The 26,058-nt window shown below is 54.0% G+C and overlaps 2 protein-coding genes across 6 annotated transcripts in view, besides 3 other annotated features; one reads left to right on the top strand and one right to left on the bottom strand.

Moving 5' to 3' along the window:
• Window positions 1–588, top strand: part of HPD (4-hydroxyphenylpyruvate dioxygenase) — a 49,085-nt gene extending 48,497 nt beyond the window's left edge. For both annotated transcript variants that reach the window (NM_001171993.2, NM_002150.3), the window contains 2 exons: window positions 67–183; window positions 277–588. In NM_001171993.2, the coding sequence (NP_001165464.1) occupies window positions 67–183; window positions 277–387 (228 nt within the window). In that variant the 3' untranslated portion in view covers window positions 388–588. The remainder of the gene's footprint in view (window positions 1–66; window positions 184–276) is intronic.
• Window positions 435–634: a silencer, noted in NCBI's record as "silent region_5000". NCBI's record gives its function as "represses an Ori minimal core promoter by ATAC-STARR-seq in GM12878 lymphoblastoid cells {active_cell/tissue: GM12878}" and the evidence as "EXISTENCE:reporter gene assay evidence [ECO:0000049][PMID:35858748]".
• Window positions 597–1,267: an enhancer, noted in NCBI's record as "H3K27ac-H3K4me1 hESC enhancer chr12:122276754-122277424 (GRCh37/hg19 assembly coordinates)". NCBI's record gives its function as "activates a minimal SCP1, AML or CMV promoter by ChIP-STARR-seq in primed H9 embryonic stem cells {active_cell/tissue: H9 hESC(primed)}" and the evidence as "EXISTENCE:reporter gene assay evidence [ECO:0000049][PMID:30033119]".
• Window positions 7,459–26,058, bottom strand: part of SETD1B (SET domain containing 1B, histone lysine methyltransferase) — a 42,502-nt gene continuing 23,902 nt past the window's right edge. For all 4 annotated transcript variants that reach the window (XM_047428553.1, XM_024448898.2, NM_001353345.2 and 1 more), the window contains exons 7-17: window positions 25,185–26,009; window positions 22,821–23,082; window positions 22,411–22,745; window positions 22,211–22,316; window positions 20,220–20,711; window positions 16,366–17,625; window positions 14,749–14,915; window positions 12,465–12,596; window positions 12,261–12,380; window positions 12,045–12,182; window positions 7,459–10,049 (exon numbers count right to left, since the gene is read on the bottom strand). In XM_047428553.1, coding sequence (XP_047284509.1) covers window positions 9,876–10,049; window positions 12,045–12,182; window positions 12,261–12,380; window positions 12,465–12,596; window positions 14,749–14,915; window positions 16,366–17,625; window positions 20,220–20,711; window positions 22,211–22,316; window positions 22,411–22,745; window positions 22,821–23,082; window positions 25,185–26,009 — 4,011 coding nt within the window. In that variant the 3' untranslated portion in view covers window positions 7,459–9,875. The remainder of the gene's footprint in view (window positions 10,050–12,044; window positions 12,183–12,260; window positions 12,381–12,464; window positions 12,597–14,748; window positions 14,916–16,365; window positions 17,626–20,219; window positions 20,712–22,210; window positions 22,317–22,410; window positions 22,746–22,820; window positions 23,083–25,184; window positions 26,010–26,058) is intronic.
• Window positions 25,509–26,015: an enhancer, noted in NCBI's record as "H3K27ac-H3K4me1 hESC enhancer chr12:122252006-122252512 (GRCh37/hg19 assembly coordinates)". NCBI's record gives its function as "activates a minimal SCP1, AML or CMV promoter by ChIP-STARR-seq in naive H9 embryonic stem cells {active_cell/tissue: H9 hESC(naive)}" and the evidence as "EXISTENCE:reporter gene assay evidence [ECO:0000049][PMID:30033119]".

Below are 26,058 nucleotides of genomic sequence, written 5' to 3'. Positions count from 1 at the left end.
CTGTGGACTTTCCAAGGATCTCACCGTGCCAGCCTCCCCTAGCAGAGCCCCCTGTCTCCCGCCTAGGAGCTGAAAATCCTGGTGGACTACGACGAGAAAGGCTACCTCCTGCAGATCTTCACCAAACCGGTGCAGGACCGGCCCACGCTCTTCCTGGAAGTCATCCAGCGCCACAACCACCAGGTACTGCTTGTCCCCGGCAGGCCCGAGGGGACAGGCAGCTAGCACACTCGGTTTTCTGGGTCCTTGGCTCATCTCCTCTCTTTCCCGCCACAGGGTTTTGGAGCCGGCAACTTCAACTCACTGTTCAAGGCTTTCGAGGAGGAGCAGAACCTGCGGGGTAACCTCACCAACATGGAGACCAATGGGGTGGTGCCCGGCATGTAAGCCCCGCCCACCCCACGGAGGCCACAGCCACACAGCCACGCCCCCTGATTCTGGAACTCGCCCAACTTCCCTACTGGCTGCTCCCCTTGGGTCCCGCCCACCAGCGGACTCGGCCCCCAAGGCTCCGCCCACACTGACCACGCCCCTCGGCGGGGCCGCCCTCTGCTCCAGCCCTCCCGATTAAAGCGTGCCCCGGTCCAATACTGTGTCTGTGTTTGTGTTGCGCATAAGGCAGTAGTGCCTTATGGCAGCCAGGGGGAGGCCAGGGCGGCCGCCAGCGCCGCGGGACCGAGGAGCTGCGGGTGCCAGCGCTTTGCCAGCGGGACCACGCGGAGAGGGGAATTCTGGAACCAGGGAAGGAAGGGGACTTGCTCTGGAGGGAAAGACGGATGACACTGCTTTTGTAGAGAGATAAACGCGATTCAGACAATAAAGCAAGCGATGAGCCGGGCGTGGTGGCTCACACCTGTAATTTCAGCGCTTTGGGAGGCAGAGGTGGGAGGATCGCTTGAGGCCAGGAGTTCGAGCCCAGCCCGGTAACATAGCAAGACCCCGACCCCCCTGCGTCTACACAAATAACAAATAAAAATTAGCCTGGCGTAGTGGCGCACACCTGTGGTCCCAGCTACTCAGGAGGCTGAGGTGGGAGGATCGATTGATGGACAGAGGTCTAAGCTGCAGCGAGCCCTGATCCTGACACTGCACTCCAGCCTGGGCAAGAGTGAGACCCTGTCTCAAAAAAAAAAAAGGCAGTTGATGAGAATATGTGGAAGCGAAGATCGCAGGGGAGCTAATTTTGATAACGGAAGACCTCTCCGAGAAGGTGACATTTGGGAGCCAGCCATGGGACCATGCTCGGGAAAAGGATTCCAGGAAGAGCGAACGGAGAAAGGCCCTGAGGTGGGGTCAGAGTTTGGCAGCATCTTGTCTGCCGGCTTGATGATCTCTTTTTGTTGTTGTTGAGACGGAGTTTCGCTCTGTCCCCCAGGCTGGAGTGCAGTGGTGCGATCTCGGCTCACTGCAAGCTCCGCCTCCCGGGTTCACGCCATTCTCCTGCCTCAGCCTCCCGAGTAGCTGGGACTACAGGCGCCCGCCACCACGCCCGGCTAATTTTTTGTATTTTTAGCAGAGACGGAGTTTCACCTTGTTAGCCAGGATGGTCTCGGCCTCCCAAAGTGCTGGGATTACAGGCGTGAGCCACCGCGCCCGGCCGATGATCTCTAAAGATGAGCTGTCTTCAGTTTTGCTACCCAGAGCCCAAACCTCTGAACACAGGAGAGGGGAGAGTGTTAGACAAGGGACTCTAGGGGCAGCATCCCTGCTCATCAACTGTAGGATATGGTCCCTTGGTTCCTGGTCTCAGAGATAAAGCAGGTAGGAGGGGCCTGGTATCCCAGTCCCTGCCCTCAGCAGGGCAGTGCCCATGACCACCCACGCAGCTGCACTGCCCCAGCCTTGCCCGCAGTGAGGACTTCTTTTGGAAAGGGGCTTGTTCATACTCATAGAAGAGTGAGTGATCCTTGCAAAAGAATGAGGCAGCTGGGTCCTAAAACCCTAGGAAGGAGATTCTTTCTTCAAAACCAGGTAAGAGTTGGTGGTGGGCAAATTTGGCCTCTTTTTTTTTTCTTTTTCTCTCTTTTTTTTTTTTTTTTAGACAGAGTCTCACTCCATTGCTCAGGCTGGAGTGCAGTGGTGTGCTCTTGGCTTACTGCAACCTCCACCTTCTGAGCTCAGGTGATCCTCCTACCTCAGCCTCCCAAGTAGCTGGGACTATAGGCATGTGCCACCACGCCCAGCTAATTTTGTTTTTATTTTTCATGGAGATGGGATCTCACTATGTTGGCCAGTCTCGAATTCCTGGTCTCAGGTGATCCGCCCACCTCAGCCTTCCAAAGTGCTGGAATTATAGGAATGAGCCACTGTCTCTGGCCTCTTTCTGCTTCTAATGCTTGAGAACCCTCCGTGAGGATAAGTCAACTCAGAGCTAGGAGGCAGCAGAGCTCAATAGAAGAAAAAAATACTCTGAGTTGGTATAATGGTGGGAATTGGGGATTTTTTTCAGATTATAGAAGAAATCAGAGCTTCTGGGATCACGAACTTCAGAAATAAAGAGATCAGAGAGAACCCAAAGGATTCCGTGCAAAAAAAATACTCCCCCTCTATTCTCCTGTGACTTAATGTGAAGAAGGGAAATTGTATAACCCAGAAGGATGCAAACTAGTGGCTTACAGACCAAATGTGGCTCATAGACCTACTTCGTTTTGCCTGCATGGTTTCAAACAAATTTGAGTCAACATTTTAGAAAGTTGGGCACATATGGCCAGGTGCGGTAGCTCATGCCTGTAATCCCAGCACTTTGGGAGGCTGAGGCAGGTGGATCACTTGAGGTCAGGAGTTAGAGACCAGCCTGCCCAACAGGGTGAAACCTCGCCTCTACTAAAAATACAAAAATTAGCCGGGAATGGAGGAGGGTGCCTGTAATCCCAGCTACTCGGGAGGCTGAGGCAGGAGAATCCTTTGAACCTGGGAAGTGGAGCTTGCAGTGAGCCGAGATCACGCCTCTGCACTCTAGCCTGGGTGGCAGAGTGAGACTCCATCTCAAAAATAAATATTGGGAGGTCAAGGTGGGTGGATCACCTGAGGTCGGGAGTTCAAGACCAGCCTGGCCAACATGGTGAAACCCCATCTCTATTAAAAATACAAAATTAGCTGGGCCTGGTGGTGCGCACCTGTAATCCCAGCTACTCGGGAGGCTGAGGCAGGAGAATCACTCGAACCCAGGAGGCAGAGGTTGCAGTGAGATCGCACCACTGCACTCCAGCCTGGGCAAAAAGAGCGAAACTCCATCTCATAAATACATAAATAAATAAATAAAGCATGCAGAGCAGACACCCACTAGCTGAGAACATACTAGAGAGCCAGGCTGCCTGAGTTCACCTCTCAGATAGCCACGTGGTAGCTGTGTGACCTATGGCAAGCTACTTGACCTCTCAGTGCTTCAGTTTCCTATGTTAAGTGGGAATTATAATAATACCCTCCTCCTAGCCCTGTTGCTAGTATCAAAGACGTTTAAAACAGAGGCTGGCACAGTCAATGCTATATGAATAGTCTTATTTTGGGGGGAGGGGCTCTTGCCCACAAGGGAACCCAAGTCTGTCTGGGACCTCCCTCTCTCTGTCTGAGGTCTCTGTCACCAAGGCTGGAGAGCAGTGGCATGATCACAGTTCACTGCAGCCTTGATCTCCCCAGTTTCAGCGATCCTCCTACCTCAGCCTCCCTAATAGCTGGGACCATAGGCATATGCCACCACGCCTGGCTAATTTTTGTATTTTTAGTAGAGACAGGGTTTCTCCATGTTTCCCAGGCTGGCCTCAAACTCCTGGCCTCAAGTGATCCTTTCTCCTGCCTCAGCCTCCTGAGAAGCTGGAGAGGGGCTCCCATTTTGGCCCCCACAATACAATAGAGGCAATGAAGAAAGGAGTTATCTCTTGGGACTGAGGAGCAGAGGAAGAGGTGGATGGATTTGAGGAATAGGGAAGAAGCATCAGATTTGGTAGGTAAGGGAGGGAAAGAGAAGGTTTAAATCCAGGATCCCTGGCCTTTGAGCTTAGGTGGTCAGTGGCAGGCAGCGGTGGGTGGAGGCAGAGAACAGAAGTGTCATTGACCAAAGTAGAAAATATGACAGGAGAGCAAGTTCAAGAGAGAAGATGAAGACAGGCGCAGTGGCTCGTACCTATAATCCTGGCACTTTGGGAGGCCGAGGCCAGAGGATTGCTTGAGCCCAGGAGTTCAAGACCAGCTTGGGAAACATAGTGAGACCCTATTTCTATAAAAATTTAAAAATTGGCCGGATACAGGTGGCTCACACCTGTAATCCCAGCACTTTGAAAGGCTGAGGCGGGAAGATTACTTGAGGTTAGGCATTTGAGACCAGCCTGGCCAACATGGTGAAACCCCGTCTCTACTAAAAATACAAACATTAGCCGGGCATGATGGCACATGCCTGTAATCCCAGCTACTCAGGAGGCTGAGGCAGGAGAATATCCTGAACCCAGGAGGCGGAGGTTGCAGTAACCGAGATTGCGCCACTGCACTCCAGCCTGGGCGACAGAGTGAGACTCTGTCTCAATAAAATAAATAAAATAAAAAATAGAGATAGGGTTTCGTCTCTTCTAATAATAAAAAAACTAGCTGGGTATGGTGGTGCGCAGCTATAGTCCCAGCTACTCAGGAGGCTGAGGCATGAGAATCCCTTGAACCTGGGAACCTGGGAGGCAGAGGTTGCAGTGAGCCGAGACCATACCATTGCACTCCAGCCTGGGCAACAGAGAGAGACTGCCTCAAAAAAAAAAAAAAAGAAAGAAAAAAAGGCCGGGCACGGTGGCTCATGTCTAGAATCCCAGCACTTTGGGAGGCCAAGGCGGGCGGATCACTTGAGGTCAGGAGTTGGAGACCAGCCTGGCCAGCATGGTGAAACTCCATCTCTACTAAAAATACAAAAAACTTAGCCGGGCATGGTGGCACATGCCCGTAGTCCCAGCTACCCGGGAGGCTGAGGTGGGAGAATGGCTTGAACCCAGAAGGCAGAAGTTGCAGTGAGCCAAGATTGCACCACTGCACTCAAGCCTGGGTGACAGAGCAAGACTCTGTCTCAACAACAACAACAACAAAAAAAAAAAAAAAGAAAAAAAAAGAAAAAAGAAAGAAAGAAAGAAAGAAAGAAAGAAAGAAAGAAAGAAAAGAAAGAAAGAAAAAGCCCTGGCGCGGTGGCTTACACCTATAATCCCAGCACTTTGGGAGGCCGAGGAGGGCACATCCCCTGAGGTCAGGAGTTCGAGACCAGCATGCTTAACATGGAGAAATCCCATCTCTACTAAAAATACAAAATTAGCTGGGCTTGGTGGCACATGCCTGTAATCCTAGTAATCCCTGTAATCCCTACTCAGGAAGCTGAGGCAGGAGAATTGCTTGAACTCGGCAGGTGGAGGTTGCAGTGAGCCGAGATTGTACCATTGCACTCTAGCCTGGGCAACAAGAGCAAAACTCTGTCTCAAGAAAAAAAAAAAGAAAAGAAATTTTTAAAATTAGCTGGTATGGTAAAGTGTGCCTATGGCCCTGATCAGCTTAGGAGGTTGAAGTGGGGGGATCATTGAGCTCAGCAGATCGAGGCTGCAGTGAGCTATGATCATGCCACTGCACTCCAGCCTGGGTGACAGAACTAGACCTTGTCTCTAAAATAAATAATAAAGGTAAAATTGTATATTCCTTCAGCTACACCCCCTTCTCTTAGCTTTATTCCTCCTTACTATTGCACTTACTTTTCACATTTGTCTGGCTCGCCCTCAAGAACAGTATGTTTCCTTCATTCCTATCCCCAGAGCCTAGAAGAGTACCTGGCACATACAAGGTGCTCAATAAATATTGGTTGATTGAATTAATGGCCAGACACTTCCTTCTCTTTCCTGGCTCAGCCCGGACCTCAGCCCTCTATTCCCATGAATCCACTTACGGGAGTGTCCACCTGTCTGGATGCACAATTCCTAAAAGCAGCCCACTGTGAACGGACAATTTACTCTCCCTTCGTTTCGTTGATACCAGAAATGAGGCTGCGAAGAACACTCTTCTTCATATTGTTGCCCACTGTATCTGTCAGGCTCAATTCCTCACAGTGGAACAACGGAGCCAAGACTTTTGTGTGCATTTGATCATTTTATTTTGAGACGAGGTCTCACTCTGTCGCCCAGGCTGGAGTGCAGTGGCATGATCTCGGCTCCCTGCAACCTCCACCTTCTGGGTTCAAGCGATTCTCCCACCTCAGCCTCCCAAGTATCTGGGATTACAGGCGTGCACCACCACACTCGGCTAATTTTTTTGTATTTTTAATAGAGATGGGGTTTTACCATGTTGGCTAGGCTAGCTCGAACTCCTGACCTCAGGTGATCTGCCCTCCTAGGCCTCCCAAAGTGCTGGGATCACAGGCGTGAGCCACCGTGCCGGCCGTGTGCATTTTAAATAATGATTACTAATAGGTATTTTTCCTCCTAAAGGTTGCAGTGATTTTTGGCTTCCCCTAATGACACACGAGAGTACCCCAGCCTCCTGCTCCCTCAAATTGGGTTTCCTCCACCTTTTAATATTTGCCAACCTGACAGGGGGAAACGGCATCCTGGGATAATTCACATTTCTCCAGTAGGAAGTGACGTACAGCGTCTTTTCAGGCATATTGCTTTTTGCTAAGGTTTTACGTCTTCTTGGAGACATTTACCGTGGACGCCAACTATAAGCCCTTTATCACCCGTCTACTGGGTCAAGCAGAGCTGAGACTGACTGGGGCACAGCATCTCTGAAATGCCATGAATACAGGATAGATTTAATTCTTCTCAACTTCTACTATTTTATCAGCCCTTTTTCCTCCCTCAAATGCAGACCAGGGGGGCATCTCCTTAAGTGTTAAACATTTCTGAGGAACCACCTACGTTCTTCTAGTGATAGTAAAAGGATACCTGATCTTATTTCCTTCATTGCAGACCTCATGAGTCAGAAACCTGAGGTTTTAAGAAAAAAATCTAGAAATCACACTTAAAAGCTGTGGAAGGTCTAGTGGTGACTATAATTTGGCCCATTTCACAAAACCCACCTACAAGTTCAGGCTGGGCACGGTGGCTCACATCTGTAATCCCACTACTTTGGGAGGCTGAGGTGGGAGGATTGCTTGAGCCCAGGAGTTTGAAACCAGCCTGGGCAACATAGGGAGACCCCGTCTCTACAGAAAAATTTCTTAAAAATTAGCTGGGCATGGTGGTGTGCTCCTGTAGTCCCAGCTACTCAGGAGGCTGAGGTGGGAGGATCACTTGAGCCCAGGAAGTCAAGGCTGCAGTGAGCCATGATTGCACCACTGCACTCCAGCCTGAGGTGACAGAGTGAGACCCTGTCTCAAAAACAAACAAAAAAACCCCTGCTGATCTGAGTGTCTGAGTGGACCACTCCACCCTCCACAGAAGCAGGATGTGCTCCCAACAGAAAGAAAGAATAAAGAGGAGAGGGAGAGAGGAGAGCAAGAGAGACGGCGTATCTGTAAGAAAAGTCAGTATATTTATGGTTTGCTTTATAAAAGTTACTATAATACAATGGTACATAGTATTGAATTCACAAAAATATGAACAAATATTTACATCAAGACACACAACGGAAACACTTCTCTTCAAAACAAGTTACATATGGATGATGGAGTCTACCCGCACAAACATCCCTAAAACTCATTGGTTCTCATCTTTGCAGGGGGAGGGAGAGAAAGCAAAAAATAGCAGAAACCCCCAACTCTTGAAAAGCAGAGATTTGTTCAATGAAAAATGAGGGAGTTGAAAGAAAAATGACTCGACACATATCTTGATTATTGCAAACCACTCTGGGGCTGGGGCTCCTGGGGAGAGGGAGGTCTAGTCCCCTTAGTGAAGGCCAGCCGAGGTTAACACTGGGCACGATGGCTGGGAGCAAGGTGAGGCCAGGGGGAGGGGTGAGGCAAGGGTCCCTTCCCTGGTCTTCTCGAACACCCCCACTTCTTTTATGGGAAGGGGACAGAATGGAGACAGCCCTTTGGAGGCTGTACATGTAACTTGAATCAGCCGTCTCTACAAGCTACGCATTTCCTCATGTGAAAAATAAATTATTTCCTCAGTTGCACAATTAGGCAGAAAACCGCAAACGGAAGAGAAGTTCGCCGCTGTGCCCAGGTACCCCATCTGTGTCTTGTTGCCACCAATTTCCTTGATCTTGAAACCGGCGGGCACAGTCTCAAATAGAGAGGGCCTGGGGGAAAGGAATAAAAAAAAAACAACAAAAAACACACAACAAAACCACCAACAACAAAAAAGAGAAAAATAACAATTCTTTGTACAGAATTTACATGATAACAAGCTTGACACAAGCTGAGATACCAGAGGCTCCGGCCGCCTGCGTCCGCAGGGTGGGAGCAGCTCCCTCATGGAGCGCGCTCATCTTGATGAGGACTCCGGGTCACAACAGTCACTTTCCAGAAATTATTTACACGCCTCCTCTGCTTTCTGGGGTACGGGGGGACTTGCTTTTGTCTTTTTTTTCCTTTTTTTTTGGAAGTACAAAGAAATGAGCAAAAAATGTCTTCCCGCATGTTTCTACAAGAAACAATGTTCCCAAGAGAAAGTCCTTTGCGGCAGCCTCTATATACAGAAGTTGGTTCTGAACTTCAAAAACCTTTTTCCCCTTCCTTTTGATTTTATACACGCACAAGAAAAAAAAAAGCCATGGGAATAAATTCTGAAGAGATGGGAAGGGGGTCAAAAGGGAAAAAAAAACCGTCAAGGCTTAGATTTGTGTTTTTAAATCTTTTCCAAGATTTTCCTTTCTCTGGGAGAAGTAATCTGCTCCCTCCGAAAATAAATATGCTCTGGCCTTCTTAGGTTGAGGGGCTGCCGGCAGGGGGATGTGGGGTGTGGGTTGGGGGTGAGTGGGTGAAGCTTATAAGCCAAAAAATGCCACACGCAGACGGTCTGACAACCCGTAATGGCGGGACTGGGGGACCCGCCTGCCCTTGGGAGCCCTGTCCCACCCAGGGCGAAGGCAAGGGCAGAAGAGAGTGGCTGCCCGCGTTCTCAGCGCCCCTCACCTGCACTGGGGCCTCCGAGAGGCTCCCGCGTTGCTGGCATCCGAATGAGAAAGTAAACATTGAACCCAAGGTTTAGGGGGTGCTGGGGTGTGAGGTGGCAGGGAAAGCCCAGAGCGGAGACCCCTGCCTGGGACAGCTTAGCTCCATCAGGGTCCACCGGGTCAGTGGTGCCCCAGGCCTCTGGGGAAGGAACAGGCTGCAGCTCGGGTGGGGAAAGGTGTGGGGTCTCCTCACTGTGCCCACGGGCAGTGAGGGGCGCTTTCAGGGCGTAGTGTTCTGAGGTCAAGGCCGTGGGGGCCTCCATCCTTCCCACAGCACCTGGCCCTGCGTCCAGGTCCGGGTGGCTTCCAGGACACGGGCCACGCACAGCCACACTGAGGCCTCTGCAGACCCCCGCGGGGCCCCTCTCTGATTCCACCTTCACATTTCAACGGTTAAATGTCTTTTCTCACAACGAGGAAAAAAATAGAGAAGACAAAACAACGTAGCAGCATTCACAGGAAGAGGCCGAGGGTGATGGTGGGAGAGAGAAGAGACAGAGAAGAGAGAGAGGGGAGGAGAGACGGAGAGAGAGAAGCTGATGCTGGAGTTAAACAGAAATCCTGAAAGGGGCGTTTGTTAAAATGAGAGAGACGTGGGCTGAACGACAGAGAAGCCCTTTCCCGCGGAGGGGCCGGAGCCAGGGGCTCCAGGGGGTAGTGTGGGGCGCCAGGCCCTGAATGGCCGCTGGGTAGAGGACAGCACCTGAAATGGGGGCGGGCGCGGGGGGCCGGGCCCCGGGGCCAGGGGCTCCACGCTCGGGAGTCCCAGGGCTACGGCTGACATCCTTTGAGTCTGGTGCCGGGGCCTAGTTGAGGGTCCCCCGGCAGTTCTCGGAGCCACAGAGGCAGGGGATCTTGACGTCCTCGATGGGGAACTTATAGTCATAGGTAATCTCCTCATTGACGTTAATGTGCTGCTTCGAGTAGATGACTATCTTCTTCTGTGACTCCACCGTGATCACCTTGGCATAGCAGTTGGGCTGCAGGCAAGGTGGGGGGGAGAATGAGCCCCTGGTCCCCCAGGGTCCCCCACCACTGCAGACCCCCCAAACCCAACCAGGCCTGTGCTTAAGGCCTGACATGCCACGTGACCCCCAGCCCACTGCTCTGCTCTGGACCTTGGCTCCCCCGACCCCCAGGGGTGACCCCTTGCCTCTGATATTAAATAATGATGATAAAAATTATTTCCCAGGCCTTTCATTTCCATTCGTAGTACAAGTGCCTCCCAAATGTATGTCTATTTTTAGCTCAGGTCTCACTTCTGAGCTCTAAAAAAAGGGTCAGCAAACTATAGCCCCTAGCAGCCTGTTTTTGTAAATAAAGTTTTACTGGCACATAGCCATATCCATTCTCCCATTCATTTGCATATAATTTGTGGCTGCTTTTGTTACAATAGCCAAGTTCAGTAGTTGCCATAGAGATCATCTGAGCCACCAAGCCAAAAACATTTATTATCTGGCCCTTTACAGAAAAGGTAAAGGCCTCCAAGCCCATAAATGCAACTACCTGCTGTCTGCCAGTGGCAGCCCTGGGTACTGTCTTTGACTTAGCTCACACCTAAAGCATGATCTGCTCCTGCTCTGGGCAGCCGCTGCACCACACACCCAGGCCCCAGAGCATCTGCCTCCCTGCCTCCTTCAGTCCAGATCTGGCCCCAACCAGGGCCGGTGAGTTCAGTCCCGGAAGGGCCTCTTGGTTGTGTCTACTGCTCTCCACTTCTGGGGCCACCAGCCACGCTCAGGCCCCCATCACTGCTCACCCGCCTGCTACAGCCCCCTTGGCCACTCTCACCCCTGAAAAAATCCACTCCTGCCCCAGCAGCCAGGGAAACGTTTCCAAAGGGATAGCAGAACCTGTTGCCCGATGGCTCCAACCTTCCAGCGACCTTGGCTCTCAGAGAAACTTAGTTCCTCAGCTTGGCCACCCTCAGCCCTGCCCACCCCATCCTCTTACCCCACCCCATGCCCACTGCCTCCCTTGCTATCTCTCAAACAGGTGTTCTCCCAACTGCCCCAGGGCCTTTGAACACGCAGTTCCCCTTGCCCCAGCACCGCTTCCCCTGGGCAATTCCCTCTCACCCCTCAGATCTCCCCGGATATTCACAGGAAAGTCCCTACCACCCAGGCAAGGATCAAGTCACAACGAAGAGAGCCAGCAGGCGCTGAGGACTGGCCTGGCCAGCACTCAAATGGCCCACGTGCAGTGACCCACCTATGTGGCCCTCCCAACAACCTAAAAGGAGAGACTGTTATTGTCTCTGTTTTACAGACAAGGAAACTCAGGCATAAGAGACATTAAGTAACTCACTAAGCTGCAATGCCAAGACTTGAACCCAAAGTCAGGGGCATCCACCCCGGAACATGCCTGCCTCCTGCTCAGAGCTTCCTGTGCTCTTCCTTCAGCACTCAAATCCCTGTTATCAGTGTCCCTCCCCTCTAGGCCTGCACCACCCAATACAGTCGTCACAAGCTAATTAAGTTTAAATTCATCAAAATGAAATAAAATTTAAAACTCAGGTCCCCAGATGCACTGGGCACATTTCCAGTGCTCACCACCACACATGTGGCTAACCCACAGCACAGATGCACGCAGTGCACCTCCCCCTTGCAGAAAGTTCTAGTGGACAGCTCGGCCCGAGCAGGACTGAGCCTGACCAATGAAGGCACGGAGAAAAGGCTAACGCAGAGAAATAACTCCGAAATTACCAATGAACTGAACCAACCACTTCTTTGAGTCCTCTAAATGCCACAGAAGTCTCACTATGCCCATTTGACAGATGAGAAACTGAGGCTCAGAGGAGTAGAGCTCCTGGTAAAAGACCTCACATGTCCTCCTCTCCCTATAACCCTTGGCCAACCTGAGCTTGGGAAGGAGGCCGAGCTGATTCCCGTGCCGGGGCTTCCAGGCCCTCCTGGCACAGAAGCAGGGCCAGGGGCAGGAGCAGGGGCAGGGGCCACCCCCCGCTGGGCACTCACGTTGCAGCTGTGGTTGATGAAGCGCGCGAAGTTGCCGCACTTGGTGGCGTCGATGATGGTGTCATGGTCCACCCGGAACATGTAGCTGCTCCCGATGCCCTCGTCCTCATAACGCTTCTCCCGCATGTCTGCGATCACCTGGCCACAAAAGGGGGTCAGTCTGGCTGGGCCGGCCCCATGCCCACCCCGGTGCCCATCCTGCCGGGCGGTGCCTACCTGACGGATATTCTGGCCCACGTACTCGATGACCATCTCGTCAGCCGCGATGGGCTCCATGGCGAACAAGCCCCAGTCGTGAATGTGGCTCTTGCAGAACTTGAGCTTTTTCTTCCGGAACTGTGGGAGGGAAGAGGGGGAGAGGTGAGCCCCGGTCTCAGGTCCTGCCGCCACCCCGGCGATCTGGGTGAAGCCCGGCCTCACCTTGAGCTGGTTGAACTTGAGCAGGTCACTGTCACAGCTGCCAGTGAAGGAGGACAGCAGGCGGCGCTGCTCCGAACGCCGCTCCGAGCCTGCCCGGGTGGAGGCGTGGGGCTGTGCTGGGATGCTCATGCCCTGCAGTGGACGGTGTGCGGGGCTCAGCGGAGCTGGCCGTGTCCTCGGCGGTCCCACCCTAGGCTCTGGATCTCTGTCATCCCCAGTGTCCTGGGCTCCTTGCTCTGGGCTTCTCCACACCTGTCGGTCCCTAATTGTCACCGCTTCCCTGCCTCCTCCATCCCATCAGTATCTGAGCGTCTCAAGCTCCTTCTATCTTCAAAACGACGAGACTCACTCTTGCCTGGCGCTGTCTTTTCCCCATTTCAGCCGAAAGTTTTGTCTACCCTGACCCCCTCCTTGGCTCTCACCCAGACCCCTCTCACCCCACAAGCGTTCAAAATCGGGGATCCTTCCGAAACCCTTGTGTCACGTCCTGCTCTTGGCCTCCCTGGGCCTCTGCCCCAGCCATTAACCTTTGGAGCATCCCAGGCCTCTGCCCCAAGTGCCCTCCCAGGTGAGGTCACCCTGCTGTGACCTTCAGTCACCACTTCTCTCCTGGCGATGCCTACACTTAGGTCCCCGGGCCGGAGATCCCCATCCTAAGCTCCGCCATACCCACATGCCCACCAAGACCTCTCTGCCTGGGTGTTTTCAGAACCCGCAGAACTCAAGCTGCCTCGTGGTGATAGCATATCAGCCTCCCCATCTCAGGCCTGGTGTCCAGCTTCCCAGCACCCCCGACCCCAGCCACACCCTGGGCTGTCACCCCCCGCCCATCCCTGTCTCCTGTACCCAGGCCAGCCCTGGTCCTGTCCATCCCACTTCCTCATATTCTTCCACAGCTAATGGCTCCTCGCGGCCCAGCTAAGTCCGGCACATCCGGTCTGGAAACCGCAGCAACCCGAACAGTCTGCCCTCAGGACCCCTGCACCAGCTCCACACCACCCCAGCTCCTCTCACAACCTCCCTCTGCTGCCTGTCACCCCAGGAGACAGGTCACTTACCACCACAGTACCCCCGACCCTGGTGGCCTGTGCTGTCTCTCCCACAAGTGGCCTCTCCCTTCCCTTCCTCACACCATGGAGCTCCCTGCTGCCTCAGGGCCTTTGCACTGCTGCTGTCCTAGGGAGGCCTGCTGGGGTCAGTGAGCCCCTCTCTGGTTTTAACTTTTTATGGAAGTCGCTTTTTCACTTCTCTGTAGTCTCTCTGGCATCCACATGGCGCCTTCCCACACTTCGCCTGGGTCTGACCCTCTCTGACTCCCCTTTGACTTGGTAATCCCTAACCCCTCTCCTGTTTTCTCCATCGCATTTTCCCTGCCTGGAATTACGTGCTTCTTTCTTCACTTGATTATTTCCTATGAGTCCCCATTAAAATATAAATTCCAGCTGGGTACCGTGGCTCACACCTATAATCTCAACACTTTGGGAGGCTGAGACGGGAGGATCGCTTGAGCCCAGGAGTTCCAGATCAGCTTGGGCTACAGAGTGAGACCCCGTCTCAATTTTTTTTTAATTTAAAAATAAAAATAAATAATTAAATTCCACGAGGAATAGGATTTGGTTTTGTTCACTGCTATAGACCCAGAACAGTGCCCGGTACACAGCATGTACTCAACAGATATTTACTGGATTAAAAAAAGAATGAATGAGGCCATGCGATGTGGCTTATGCTTATAATCCCAGCAGTTTGGGAGACCAAGGCAGGCGAATTACTTGAGGTCAGGAGTTCGAGACCAACCTGGCCAACATGGCAAAACCCCATCTCTACTAAAAATACAAAAAATTAGCCAGGCATGGTGGTGGGCACCTGTAATCCCAGCTACTCAGGAGGCTGAGGCAGGAGAATCATTTGAACCCAGGAGGCAGAGGTTGCAGTGAGCTGAGACTGTGCCACTGCACTTCAGCCTATGTGACAGAGCAAGGCTTTGTCCCCCCCTAAAAAAAAAACCCAAGCAAAAAACAAAAAATGAATGAACTTGCGGAAATACAGCTCCGTCACATCCCTAATTAAACCCTTTGGAGGTGCTCCAGGGCCCATGGGACTAAGGCAAACTCCTTCCTTCTCCTAGGCCCCGCCCACCCGCCTCTCCCCTTCCACTTGCACCCTCTGTGTGCCAGCCCCTCTGGCCTCACAACTCCTCCCTCTGCCTGGCACCCCTCCATGAGTGCCCTGGATCCCCGTGGCCCAGCCCAGCAGGCTCTGATGTGTCCAGGAGCCCTGGCAGTACCTGGGTGTCTGCGGGGGGCTCATCGGTGCTGGCACGGCTGCTGTTGAGGTATCTGAGCTTGTCCTTCTTGTCGATGGTGTAGAAGCCCTCACTGCGGGCACAGCCCGTCACGTGCTCGCGGATGCCATCGTCCCGTTTCTTCTTCTTAGCTGAAGAGAGGCTGGTGGGTGGGTGTGGGTCAAGGGCCACATGGACATTCTGAGAGCCCCTTCTGGTCCCTTCATAGACTGGTCCCGCCCATCCTCAGACCACCCTTCAGGGACAGCGATGTCCAGTTCTACTGCCCACTCCCATGCCACCTCCACGTGGCTGCCCGCTGACCAACCCTGCTGACGGTCAATACCTAGTTGCATGGCTCTAGGTGTCTTTTTTTTTTTTTTTTTTTTTGAGACAGGGTCTCCTGTTGCCCAGGCTCGAGTGCAGTGGTGCAATCTCAGCTTACTGCAGCCTCAGCCTTCTGAGCAGCTGGGGCTACAGGCGTGCGCCACCACACCCAACTAATTTCTGGATTTTTTTTGTAGAGATGGGGTTTTGCTATGTTTCCCAGGCTGGCTTCAACCTCCAGAGATCAAGTGATCCATCCACCTCGGCCTCCCAAAGTGCTGGGTGTTTTAACAACTTTCTGCTCAGTTTCCCATCTGTAAATTGGGGTGACAGTGATGCCTCTCTGCAAGTGATGAAATATGCTTATGGTCCTTAGCAGAGTTTTTTTTTTTTTTTGAGACAGAGTCTTGTTCTGTCACCCAGGCTGGAGTGCAGTGGTGCGATCTTGGCTCACTACAACCTGTGCCTCCCGGGTTCAAGCAATTCTCCTGCCTCAGCCTCCAGAGTAGCTGGAATTATAGGCATGTGCTACCACACCCGGCTAATTTTTGTATTTTTAGTAGAAATGGGGTTTTGCCATGTTGGCCAGGCTGGTCTCAAACTTCTGGCCTCGAGTGATCCGTCCGCCTCAGCCTCCCATAGTGCTGGGATTACAGCTGTGAGCCATGGTGCCCGGCACTTGAGCAGAGCTCTTGACACAAACTGAGTGCTCACAAATCAGTCTAATACAGCAGGGATAATGAGAGGTCTAGCCTCACTGGCCTATGTGAACAGCCAAGCCTCATGAAAGCCTGGTGGTGAAGAGCCTGGACTCTAGAGCCAGGTTTGCCTGGGTTCAAATCTCAACTCTGCCACCTGTAGCTGTGTCTTTGGACAGGTCACTGAACCTCTCTGAGCCTTAGCTTCTTCATATGTAAAATGGGAATCATAGCCCCCATCTTCACCAGGCTACCGGGATTACCTGAGGTTATGAAGGGGACAGGACAAGGAGGCCCTGCGCCCGTGTGTGCTGTTAAGCTGCACGGCACTGCTGTTACATGTGACCCTGAGACCTGCTAACTCTGGGGGTGAGATGGGCCTGGCGCAGAGGGAGTCCTTAAAACGTGCCAATGATTCACTCGGGAGCCTGGCATGGTGCCGGGACACAAACCCTGCTTGGGAAGTGACGGTGGTGCATGCTGTCACCTTCATGGGCACCGCGGGCTGCTACAGACTGGGTGGTGGGGCCCAGAGAGGTGAGCAGGGACTTCCTGCATCCCAGAAGGTGCAGAGCCCCCCATGCCAGCAGGATATAGGGATGGTAGACCCAGAGCGTGTCGTTAAGCCAGTCCATGCCATTGTCCTGCTGTAGCAGTCGCTCGTAGGTGACACACAGGAAGCGGATGTCCTCCTCATCGATGCCACCGTTCCAGATGTCATACAGGATGGTCATCTCCTCAAACTCCGAGCGGGGCCGGAAGAGGGGCTGGGGTGGCGAGAGTTCGGGCGAGCCCGCAGGTGGCACCAGGTCCTCATGGCGCTTCTTAGGTGGCCGGCGCCACGGCCCCCGGCTCTTGGCCAACTCCATGTATTCCTCAGTGACCTCATCGCGCCCACGGGGGCCCGGAGGAATGGCCTCGGAGGGCCACTGGTTGTCTAGCTCCTTAAAGGGCAGCTTGGTGGGCTCTACAGGTGGGGGAGGTGGGGGTGGGGGTGGCTGGGGGGGAAGGGGTGGTGGAGGGGCTGGGATCCCCGCGTTCCGGAAGTCCAGGGTCACCGTCCGGGGGTCATGGGTGCTGGGGAAGACGGGGGTCTGTGGCTGGCCCGGCAGGAGCAGGAGTTCCCTTCCAAGGGCGGCCCCTGCTGGTGGTCGGACCAAGGGCCCATCCAAGGAGAGCATAGATGGTGGGGATCGCCGGGGCCGGCCCGGCTTCCTCTTCATTGGGGGAGGGCAAGAGGCCAGGGGGGCGGGCAGCAGGGGTGGCAGCGGGGTGGGCGCACGAGCCTGGGCCCGCAAGACGGCGGGCAATGCCAAGGGCAAGGGCAGGGGAAGGGGCAGAGGGAGGGGCAGGCCCGTCTCCAGGAGCACCGGGGAGGCCAGGGGCCCGGAGCGTTCATCGCGTCGGCCAGTGGGGAGTGGGCAGACGGGCAGGAGCAAGGGCCCGCTGGGCTCGGAGAAGGTGGGTGTGAAGCTGAAGTCCCGGCCAGGTGTCCGAGGGAGGCCCCCACTGCTCAAGCTAGGGGACGGGGCTGGGTAGGAGAAGGGGCTGCCGGGCACTTGCGGAGAGCTCAGGGACAGGCCACTGCTGCCCCCTGATAGCGGGGGCTCCCCGCCTGGTGTGGCTGGCACCGTCTCTGTGCTCTGCGACTTGGCCAGGCTGCCACAGAGGCCTGGAGTATGCGGGGGGTGGTCCTCGGCAAGGGGCTCCGGAGGGACAGATGGGTGTGAGGCATCTGTGGTCTCAGGCTCCGGCGGTGGGCTGGGTGGCCGGGGTGGTCGTGGGGGCGGCAATGGTGGTTGCAGCGGCAAGGGGAGCATCATAGGGGGCTCCGGCTCCACTTCCAGGTCATGTTCTGCAGAGAGGTGAGCGAACACGAGACATTTACTATTCAATCCAAACGTCTCTCAGTGCCTTATTTTGTGCTCCATACCTGGCAGGCTCACAGCCCTGAGTCTGAGCACGGGACCTGTCCTTCTCCAGCTAAACCCCTCAAGGACTCCTCAGCGCCCAACCCAGTGTCAGGCACACAGTATGTGCTTTATCAATGTTGCTAGGCTAAATCACAGATGCAGGAGACATGTATTCCAGCCTTTCATACTACGTCTTCAGAACAAAGTCCCTGTGGCCCAAGAAAATCTGCTCTATGACTGAATAAAATTCAACAAGTCTCTTTTCTGCAGGACTTGTCGGAGCCTTCAAGGATTTTTTTCCTAGCACTTATCTCCACTGTCACAGGATACACTTCTTAATTTTTTAATGAATTTACTTATTTTTTTATTTTTGAGACGGGTGGAATGCAGTGGCATGATCACGGTCACTGCAGCCTAGACCGCCAGGGCTCAAGGGATCCTCCTGCCTAAGGCTCCTGAGTAGGTGGGACTACAGGAATGTGCCACCACGCCCAGCTAATCTTTAAATGTTTTGTAGAGATGGGCTCTATGTTGCCTAGGCTGGTCTTGAACTCCTGGCCTCAAGTGATCCGCCAGCCTTGGCCTCCCAAAGTGCTGGAATTACAGATGTGAGCCACCATGCCCGACCACAGAATACATCTTTTTCATTTTCTATTTTTACATTATTTTATTTTTATTTTTTCGAGACAGTCTCACTCTGTCACCCAGGCTGGAGTGCAATGGCACAATCTCAGCTCACTGCAACCTCCTCCTCCCAGGTTCAAGCAATTCTCCTTCCTCAGCCTCCCAAGCCGCTGGGATTACAGGCACGTGCCACCACGCCCTGCTAATTTTTTGTACTTTTAGTAGAGATGGGGTTTCGTCATGCTGGCCTGGCTGGTCTCAAACTCCTGACCTCAGTTGATCTGCCTACCTCGGCTTCCCACAGTGCTGGGATTACAGGTGTGAGCCACCGCGCCCGGCACATTTCTTTTTCTTTCTTTTTTTTTTTTTTTAAGACAGTCTCACTCTATCGCCCAGGCTGGAGTGCAGTGTGGCACGATCTCGGCTCGCTGCAACCTCTGCCACCCGGGTTCAAGCAATTCTCCTGCCTCAGCCTCCCAAGTAGCTGGGATTACAGGAGCCTGCCACCTGTTTTTCATTTTCTAATTGATCTGTTGTCATCTGTTCCCCTGCTCCGTGGGAGCAGATATTTTTGTCTGTTTGGTCCACTGTTGCATTGCTACTGCCTAAAATAATAGCAGGGACACAATAGAGGCTTAGTATTGAGTCAATGTTCAAAGACTGTGGTTAATGGTGGAATAAACAAAACAAAATACATTACATTAAACAAAACACAGTCGTCCCTCAATACACACAGAGAATTGGTTCTAACACTCCCTGGTATACCTAAATCTGCACATACTCAAAGCTTGTAGTCTGCCTTGCAGAACCCACGTATAGGCGATCGCCCTCCATATACAGTGGGTTTCGCATCCCACCGGTCTTTTCCGTCCATATTTGGTTGAAAACTGCATGTCCGTGGGCCCTAGCCATGTGTTCAATGTACAGGGGCAGCTGTAATCCTTTCCTGAAGGACTTATTAAAGGTAGGTGCTAGGACCGGGCATGGTGGCTCACGCCTGTAATCCCAGCACTTTGGGAGGCCGAGGTGGGTGGATCATGAGGTCAGGAGATCGAGACCATCCTGGCTAACGCGGAGAAACCCCATCTCTACTAAAAATACAAAAAATTAGTCGGGTGTGGTGGCGAGTGCCTGTAGTCCCAGCTACTCTGGAGGCTGAGGCAGGAGAATGGCGTGAACCTGGGAGGCGGAGCTTGCGGTGAGCCGAGATCGTGCCACTGCACTCCAGCCTGGGTGACAGAGCGGGACTATGTCTCAAAAAAAATAAAAATAAAAATAAAAAAAGAGGTAGGTGCTAACCACATGCAGCTATCTATGTAAGCCAAAATAAATTGAACACTATTATAAATTCAGTTCCACTGTGCCACTGGCCACGTTTCAAGAGTTTGGTAGCAACATTGTGTCTGAAGGCTACAGTGCTGGACAGCACAGCCTGAGAACGCTGCCATCACTGTGGAAAGTTCTACTGGCCATGCAGTTAGAGTTCTCATATGCTCTGTGCAGCAGCATCACGATGCCGGAGGGGGCAATGCCTGCAGCCCTCACCTGGCCCAGCACCCCAGGGCCTACCCCACCGACTTGTCACTCAAGTGACCATGGACACCCATCCTCCTTTTGGGGAGCATCTCATGGGACTGATGGTCCAAGGACCAAGCCACCAGGGAAACGCTGGCAGTGAGGACTGAAAAATAGCAGTCGTTCCCCTTTGGGTTGATCCATGCAGTGCCAGGCTCAGTGCTGGCACCCAACACCTCATCTCGCTCGAGGGAGGCACAACCGGCTGATCTCGTTTTACACGGGAAACTGAGGCTGGGGACGGTCAGCGATCTACCCCAGGAAGCCCGGGCTGATTCTGACAGTGAGGACTTCCTGCCTCCCTCCCACCACCCTCCCAGGGGGTTGCAGGTGTTACCTGGAGCTCGCTCAGGGGACAATGGGGGTCGAGCCTCCACCTCCTTGGCAGGGGGCTCTGGAGACAGCAACATGGCCCCTTCCTGGCTCAGGCCTGGTTCCTCAGGCGGCTCCCTGGAGTCCGCTGGCTCTTCAACACCCACAGGCAAGGGGGGCTCGTCCAGCATGGAGGGCCGCTCCTCAGGGGCCACAGCCTCAGTCTCGATGTCCACCTCCTCTTCCATGCCCAACGAGTCCACTGCAGGTGCCCCCGGGGCCAGAGCCGCTTCCTCCCCGTCCTGCTCAAAGTCCTCAGGGCCTGCAGAAGCCATGCTTTCCTCGGCCACCATCTCCTCCTCCTCCTCTTCTTCCTCCTCTTCCCTGGCCACTACCTCCTCCTCATCCTCCGAGGATGAGGGCGAGGACTCGGAGCTTGACTCAAACTCAGAAGACTCGGAACTCTCACTGGACGACGTGGCTTCGGCCTTGGAGGTTACAATGCTCACTGTCTCCTCTGGATGGGGGACACAGACGAGGGGCTGCCTGAGGACCCGCTGTGCCCCAGCCCCCACCAGACCCCTCACCAATGGCCTCAAACTGGTGGCACCCAGGCTGAACACGGCCCTCAGATATGTGTGTGGGGCATGTGTTCACTAGGAGTCTTTTTTTTCTTTTTTTTGAGTTTTGCTCTTGTTGCCCAGACTGGAGTGCAGTGGCACGATCTCGGCTCACTGCAACCTCCACTTCCTGGGTTCAAGCGATTCTCCTGCCTCAGCCTCCCAAGTAGCTGGGATTACAGGCATGCACCACCACGCCCGGCTAATTTTGTACTTTTAGTAGAGACAGGGTTTCACCATGTTAGCCAGGCTGGTTTCAAACTCCTGACCTCAGGTGATCCACTTGCCTCAGCCTCCCAAAGTGCTGGGATTAAAGGAGTGAGCCACCACACCCGGCCGCTAGTAGTCGCTTTTAAAAACTGAGGTAAAATTAACATAACAGAAAACTGCTCACTTTTTTTTTTTTTTTTTGAGACGGAGTCTCGCTCTGTCGCCCAGGGTGGAGTGCAGTGGGGCGATCCCGGCTCACTGCAAGCTCCGCCTCCTGGGTTCACGCCATTCTCCTGCCTCAGCCTCCTGAGTAGCTAGGACTACAGGCACCTGCCACCATGCCCGGCTAATTTTTTGTATTTTTATTAGAGACGGGGTTTCACCGTGTTAGCCAGGATGGTCTCGATCTGTTGACCTCGTGATCCACTTGCCTTGGCCTCCCAAAGTGCTGGGATTACAGGCGTGAGCCACTGCGCCCAGCCAAAAACTGCTCACTTTGTAAAAAAAATTTTATTTATTATTTTTTTTGAGGTGGAGTGTCACTCTGTCACCCAGGCTGGAGTGCAGTGGCATGATCTCAGCTCACTGCAACCTCTGCCTCCTGGATTCAAGCAATTCTCCTGCCTCAGCCTCCCAAGTAGCTGGGATTACAGGTGCCCACCACCACGCCTGGCTATTTTTTGCATTTTTAGTAGAGACGGGGTTTCACCATGTTGGCCAGGCTGGTCTCGAACTCCTAACCTCAGGTGATCCACTCGCCTAGGCCTCTCAAAGTGCTGGGATTACAGGTGTAAGCCACTGCGTCCGGCCAACTGCTCGTTACAAAGTGATAATTCCAGCAGCATTTAGTACATTTGTAATGTTGCACAACCACCACCTCGATCTGGTCCCTAAGTATTTTTATCAGTTGAAAAGGAAGCCATGTAGGCTGAGCAAGCCCCCCTGAACACCGGGCTCCCCAGCCCTAAGGACCACAGACCTGCTTTCTATTTCTATGGACATGCCATTATGTTCACGGCACTCCCTGAAGATGGAACCGTACGCCACCCTGTGTGTGTGTTTTAACAAGGTAACGTCTCAAAAGCACAACATTTTGGCTCAGAAGTATTTCTGACAATTGCTCAGGCTCTGCCCCGGGGAAAGAGGGACTCCGGGAGGGCCAGGCAGCCACGGCCTCCCTGCTCACCTTCATCCGAGTCCCCTTCGTCCTTCTCACTCGCCTCTGACAGGGCTGTGTCCTCGTCATCGTTCTCAGACTCGTCCCGGTCATCACTGTCGTCATCGTCGTCATCCTGGGGGAGAAGGAAGAGTGGGGACAGGTGAGCCGAAGGGTCTGGCCCTCGTCGCCTGGCCCGGCCCCCTGAGGCTTCCTGGCCTGCTAGGCACCTTATCTGATGTGGATGAGGTTGAGGAGGAGGAGAGCTGGCTCCTGGGGACTTCCTCCTCCTCCTCCTCCTCCGCCTCCTCTTCCTCCTCGGTGCTCTCCTGTTCCTCCTCCTTGTCGGAGGCCGAGGACGAGGGTGAGGTGGTTGAGGACCCCGAGGATGATGACGCGGATGAGGACGAGGACGCCGACAATGACTCCTTCTCGTCCTCCTCCCCACCACTGTCCAGCTCCAGAGGCCGCGCCGGCCGCCGCCGCACACCCACGCCCTTGGGGTCCCGCTTGGCGAGCTCACAGGGGGTGTCTGCCATATCCCGGTCTCGCTCTCGCTCGGACTCTGCAGGAAGGGAGGGAGTCAGAGCTGGGCTGGGGGGATGCGGAAGAAGGGGACCCCAGCACCCAGAGCACGAACCTTCATCTTCCTCATCCACAGAGGTCGAGGGCCGCAGCCGCTTCTGGTCGCCAGATGAGGTGGTGTCTGGTGGCTCCTTCCTCTTGACCTTGAAGGAGGGCAGGCGAATGGCCCCACGCAGCCCAATGCCCAGGCCCAGGCCCTCGTAGCCCAGGCCCTCGCCCTTGCCCCATGACTCCAGCAGGCACGAGGCGATGCGGTCCTTGGGCTTCGGCCTGTCCTCGTCCTTGTGCTCGCCCGACTTCACCGGGGTCAGCGAGGCCTGGGGTGGAGACAGGAGGGGACCGTCACCGCTTCTGGCACCACCAACCCTTGCAGGGAGCCCTCCCCAGGCTACCTGCCTTCCACTCGGCAGTAACAGCCACCACAGGTAACTGCATCCTCATTCCCTACACACCTGGCCACACTATGCCGTTACCCACGAGGCTCTAGAGCACCGCTCTGCCTCATAGATCTCAATGTCCTCCCCTGTAGAATAGGACTACTGTACCTGCCTTCCTTACAACAGTGGCCTTTGCACTTTGCAGACAATCCAAAAACTACACCATAGGGACACATCTGTGCAACACCACCTTCACAAGGTAAGATTTACACTATCCCATTTTCTCTTCTCTTCCCATGCATTAAAAACAGGACCTACTGGCTTTATTTCACTGCTCACTAAGGGGTTGCCCCTGTGGTTCTGAAATGCTCTGCCTTCAAAGGGATGCTGTGAGAATTAACAAAACGAGCCACATGAAGAGCTTTGCAAGGTGCAGGGCACATGAGGCCTGGTGGCTCTTTTTATTCAAATTGTGAATGGAATAGCTATTAGCTGTTACTGTAGGGTCAGTATAATTTGGCTGAACCATAAAGAGCTGTGTATCAGTGATTTCAGACGGTTCATTCTAATTTTACTGCCCAGTTAAACGGATGACAAACAGGCTCTGACAAGTGCTGCTTACCTCTGTGGCAGAAAGCAAGCATTTCCCAAAGCAGGCTCCAGGGGACACTCAAACTCATAACCACGGTCGAGGGAGGGGAGCAGGGGGGAATGGGGTGGAGGGGAGGGATTAAGGGGAGTTTAAAGTATTCAAGAAAAAGTTCTCTCTTATGGAGAAAATAAGTAATTTTAGATTACCTGTAAGATTGCAAACAGGCAAATAATATGTTAAAAAGGAAAAAAGAGACCAGGCATAGTGGCTCACATCTGTAATCCCAGCACTTTGGTAGGCTGAAGCAGGTGGATCACTTGAGGTCAGGAGTTCGAGACCAGCCTGGCCAACAAGGTGAAACCCCATCTCTACTAAAAATACAAAAATCAGCCAGGCATGGTAGTGGGTGCCTATAGTCCCAGCTACTTAGGACACTGAGGCAGGAGAATCGCTTGAACCCAGGAGGTGGAGGCTGCAGAGGGCTGAGATCACGCCATTGCACTCCAGCCAGGGTGACAGAGTGAGACTCCATCTCCGAAAAAAAAAAAAAAAAAAAAGAAAGAAAAGAAAATAGTAAGTAGGCCAGGAGCGGTGGCTGACGCATATAATCCCAGCCCAAAAGGCAGAGGATCACTTGAGCCTAGGAGTTCAAGACCAGCCTGGGCAACGTGGTGAAACTCTGTCTTTACAGAAAAACACACAAATTAGCTGGGTGTGGTGGTACATGCCTGTAGTCCCAGCTACTTGGAGGCTGAGGTGAGAGGATCCCTTGAGCACAGGGAGGTTGAGGGTGCAGTGAGCTATGATTGCGCCACTACACTCCAGCCTGGACGATACAGCGAGACCCTGTCTCAAAAAAACAAAAAAAGGAAAAAAGTGGTCCAAGACAGGGCTCCGTGTAAAAGGCGGCATGAGGGGAGGTGAGGGGAGTCAAGTTCAAAGGGAGTCGCAGCTGTGAGCTGTCTGCAATGGGCGGGGGGGGCAGTCTGCACCAGCTATCCTGTGTACTACCACTAGGCACCTGTGGCTCCCGAGCACTTGAAATGTGGCATGTACAAAGGAGGAGTTTTAATTTTACTCTGTTTTAATTCATTTAAGTTAATTTGCACATTTATTTTTAGAGATGGGCTCTTGCTATACTGCTCAGGCTGATCTTGAACTCCTAGGCTCAAGCAATCCTCCCACCTCAGCCTCCCAAAGTGCTGGGATTAAAGGTGTACGCCACCATGCCTGGCCACTCATTTAAATTCAAAGAGCCGTGTGCATCTAGTGGCTGCTGAAGTGGAGCACAGTTTGCGGAACTTTGAAAGTGGCCACATGAAATGGAGCTCCCATAGTGGGGTCCACGGCAGCGTTTCCAGTTAACAGTCTCAGGGAAAGAGGAGGTGCCCGGCTGGGGACCTGCCCCCCTCCACAGCCACCCTGCAGAGCCCTGCACCCACCCACCCACCTTGGCCATCCGCTCCTTCTTGTCCCACCACTCGTCAAAGGCCCGGAAAGCCACCACTTCCACCATCTTGCGGTTCAGGTCACGCTTCATGATGGCCTTGAGTTCTTTGAGGACCACCAGCAGGACGCCATCCACCGTGGCTTTGTGTGGGTCCTCCTGGCGTGGCATGTAGCCTGGTGGAGGCACTGACGGGTCAAACTTGGGCAGTGGTGGCCAGTGCTGCCCGCGGCCTGGGCCGGAGTTGCTCAGGGAGAAGGGGCCCCGGTAGGGCGGCAGGTTGACAAACTGGAGCCCAGCTGAGGCAGCGGCGGCCGCAGCGGCCATGAAGGGCGGGTAGGGGCAGGCGCCCTGGCCCGTCATCAGCCGGCTGAGCACCTGCGTTTGCATCTGGAAGGACATGGGCATGCCGCCCCACTGGCCACCCAGCACGTGGCTCATGTCCACCTGCATCACAGGGAACAGGCCCGGCGGAAAGGGGGGCAGTGGTGGCAGGATGGGTGGGGGCGGGACTCCAGGCGGCGCTGGCAAGGGTGGTGGGGGCACTGTCACAGCAGGGTGGGCTGGAGGGGGTGGGGGCGGCGGTGGGGGCAGCGGTGGGGGCATGGGGAAGCCAGGCTGCGGTGGGGGTGGTGGTGGTGGGGGGGGCAGCGGGGGGAAGCCAGGTGGCGGGGGCAGCGGCAGGGTTGGGGCTAGCACAGAAGGGGCTGCCACGGCTGCCGCTCCTGGGGTCACCACCATGGGCTTGGGGCAGTCAGCGCTGGTGATGGGGGCCGAGGGCATCTCGTCATCCGAGATCTCCATGTCCTCGCCTGAGGACTGCTGGCCCTGCAGAGAGAGCAGGGAGAGACAGTGAGGTGAGTCTGGAAGGCCAAGG

The sequence above is a fragment of the Homo sapiens genome, chromosome 12 (genome assembly GCF_000001405.40).
Source record: "Homo sapiens chromosome 12, GRCh38.p14 Primary Assembly".
In the NCBI taxonomy this organism is placed as follows: Eukaryota; Metazoa; Chordata; class Mammalia; order Primates; family Hominidae; genus Homo; species Homo sapiens.
Note: the sequence above shows the minus strand (reverse complement) of the source record. Positions and strands in the feature narration are given on the sequence as shown.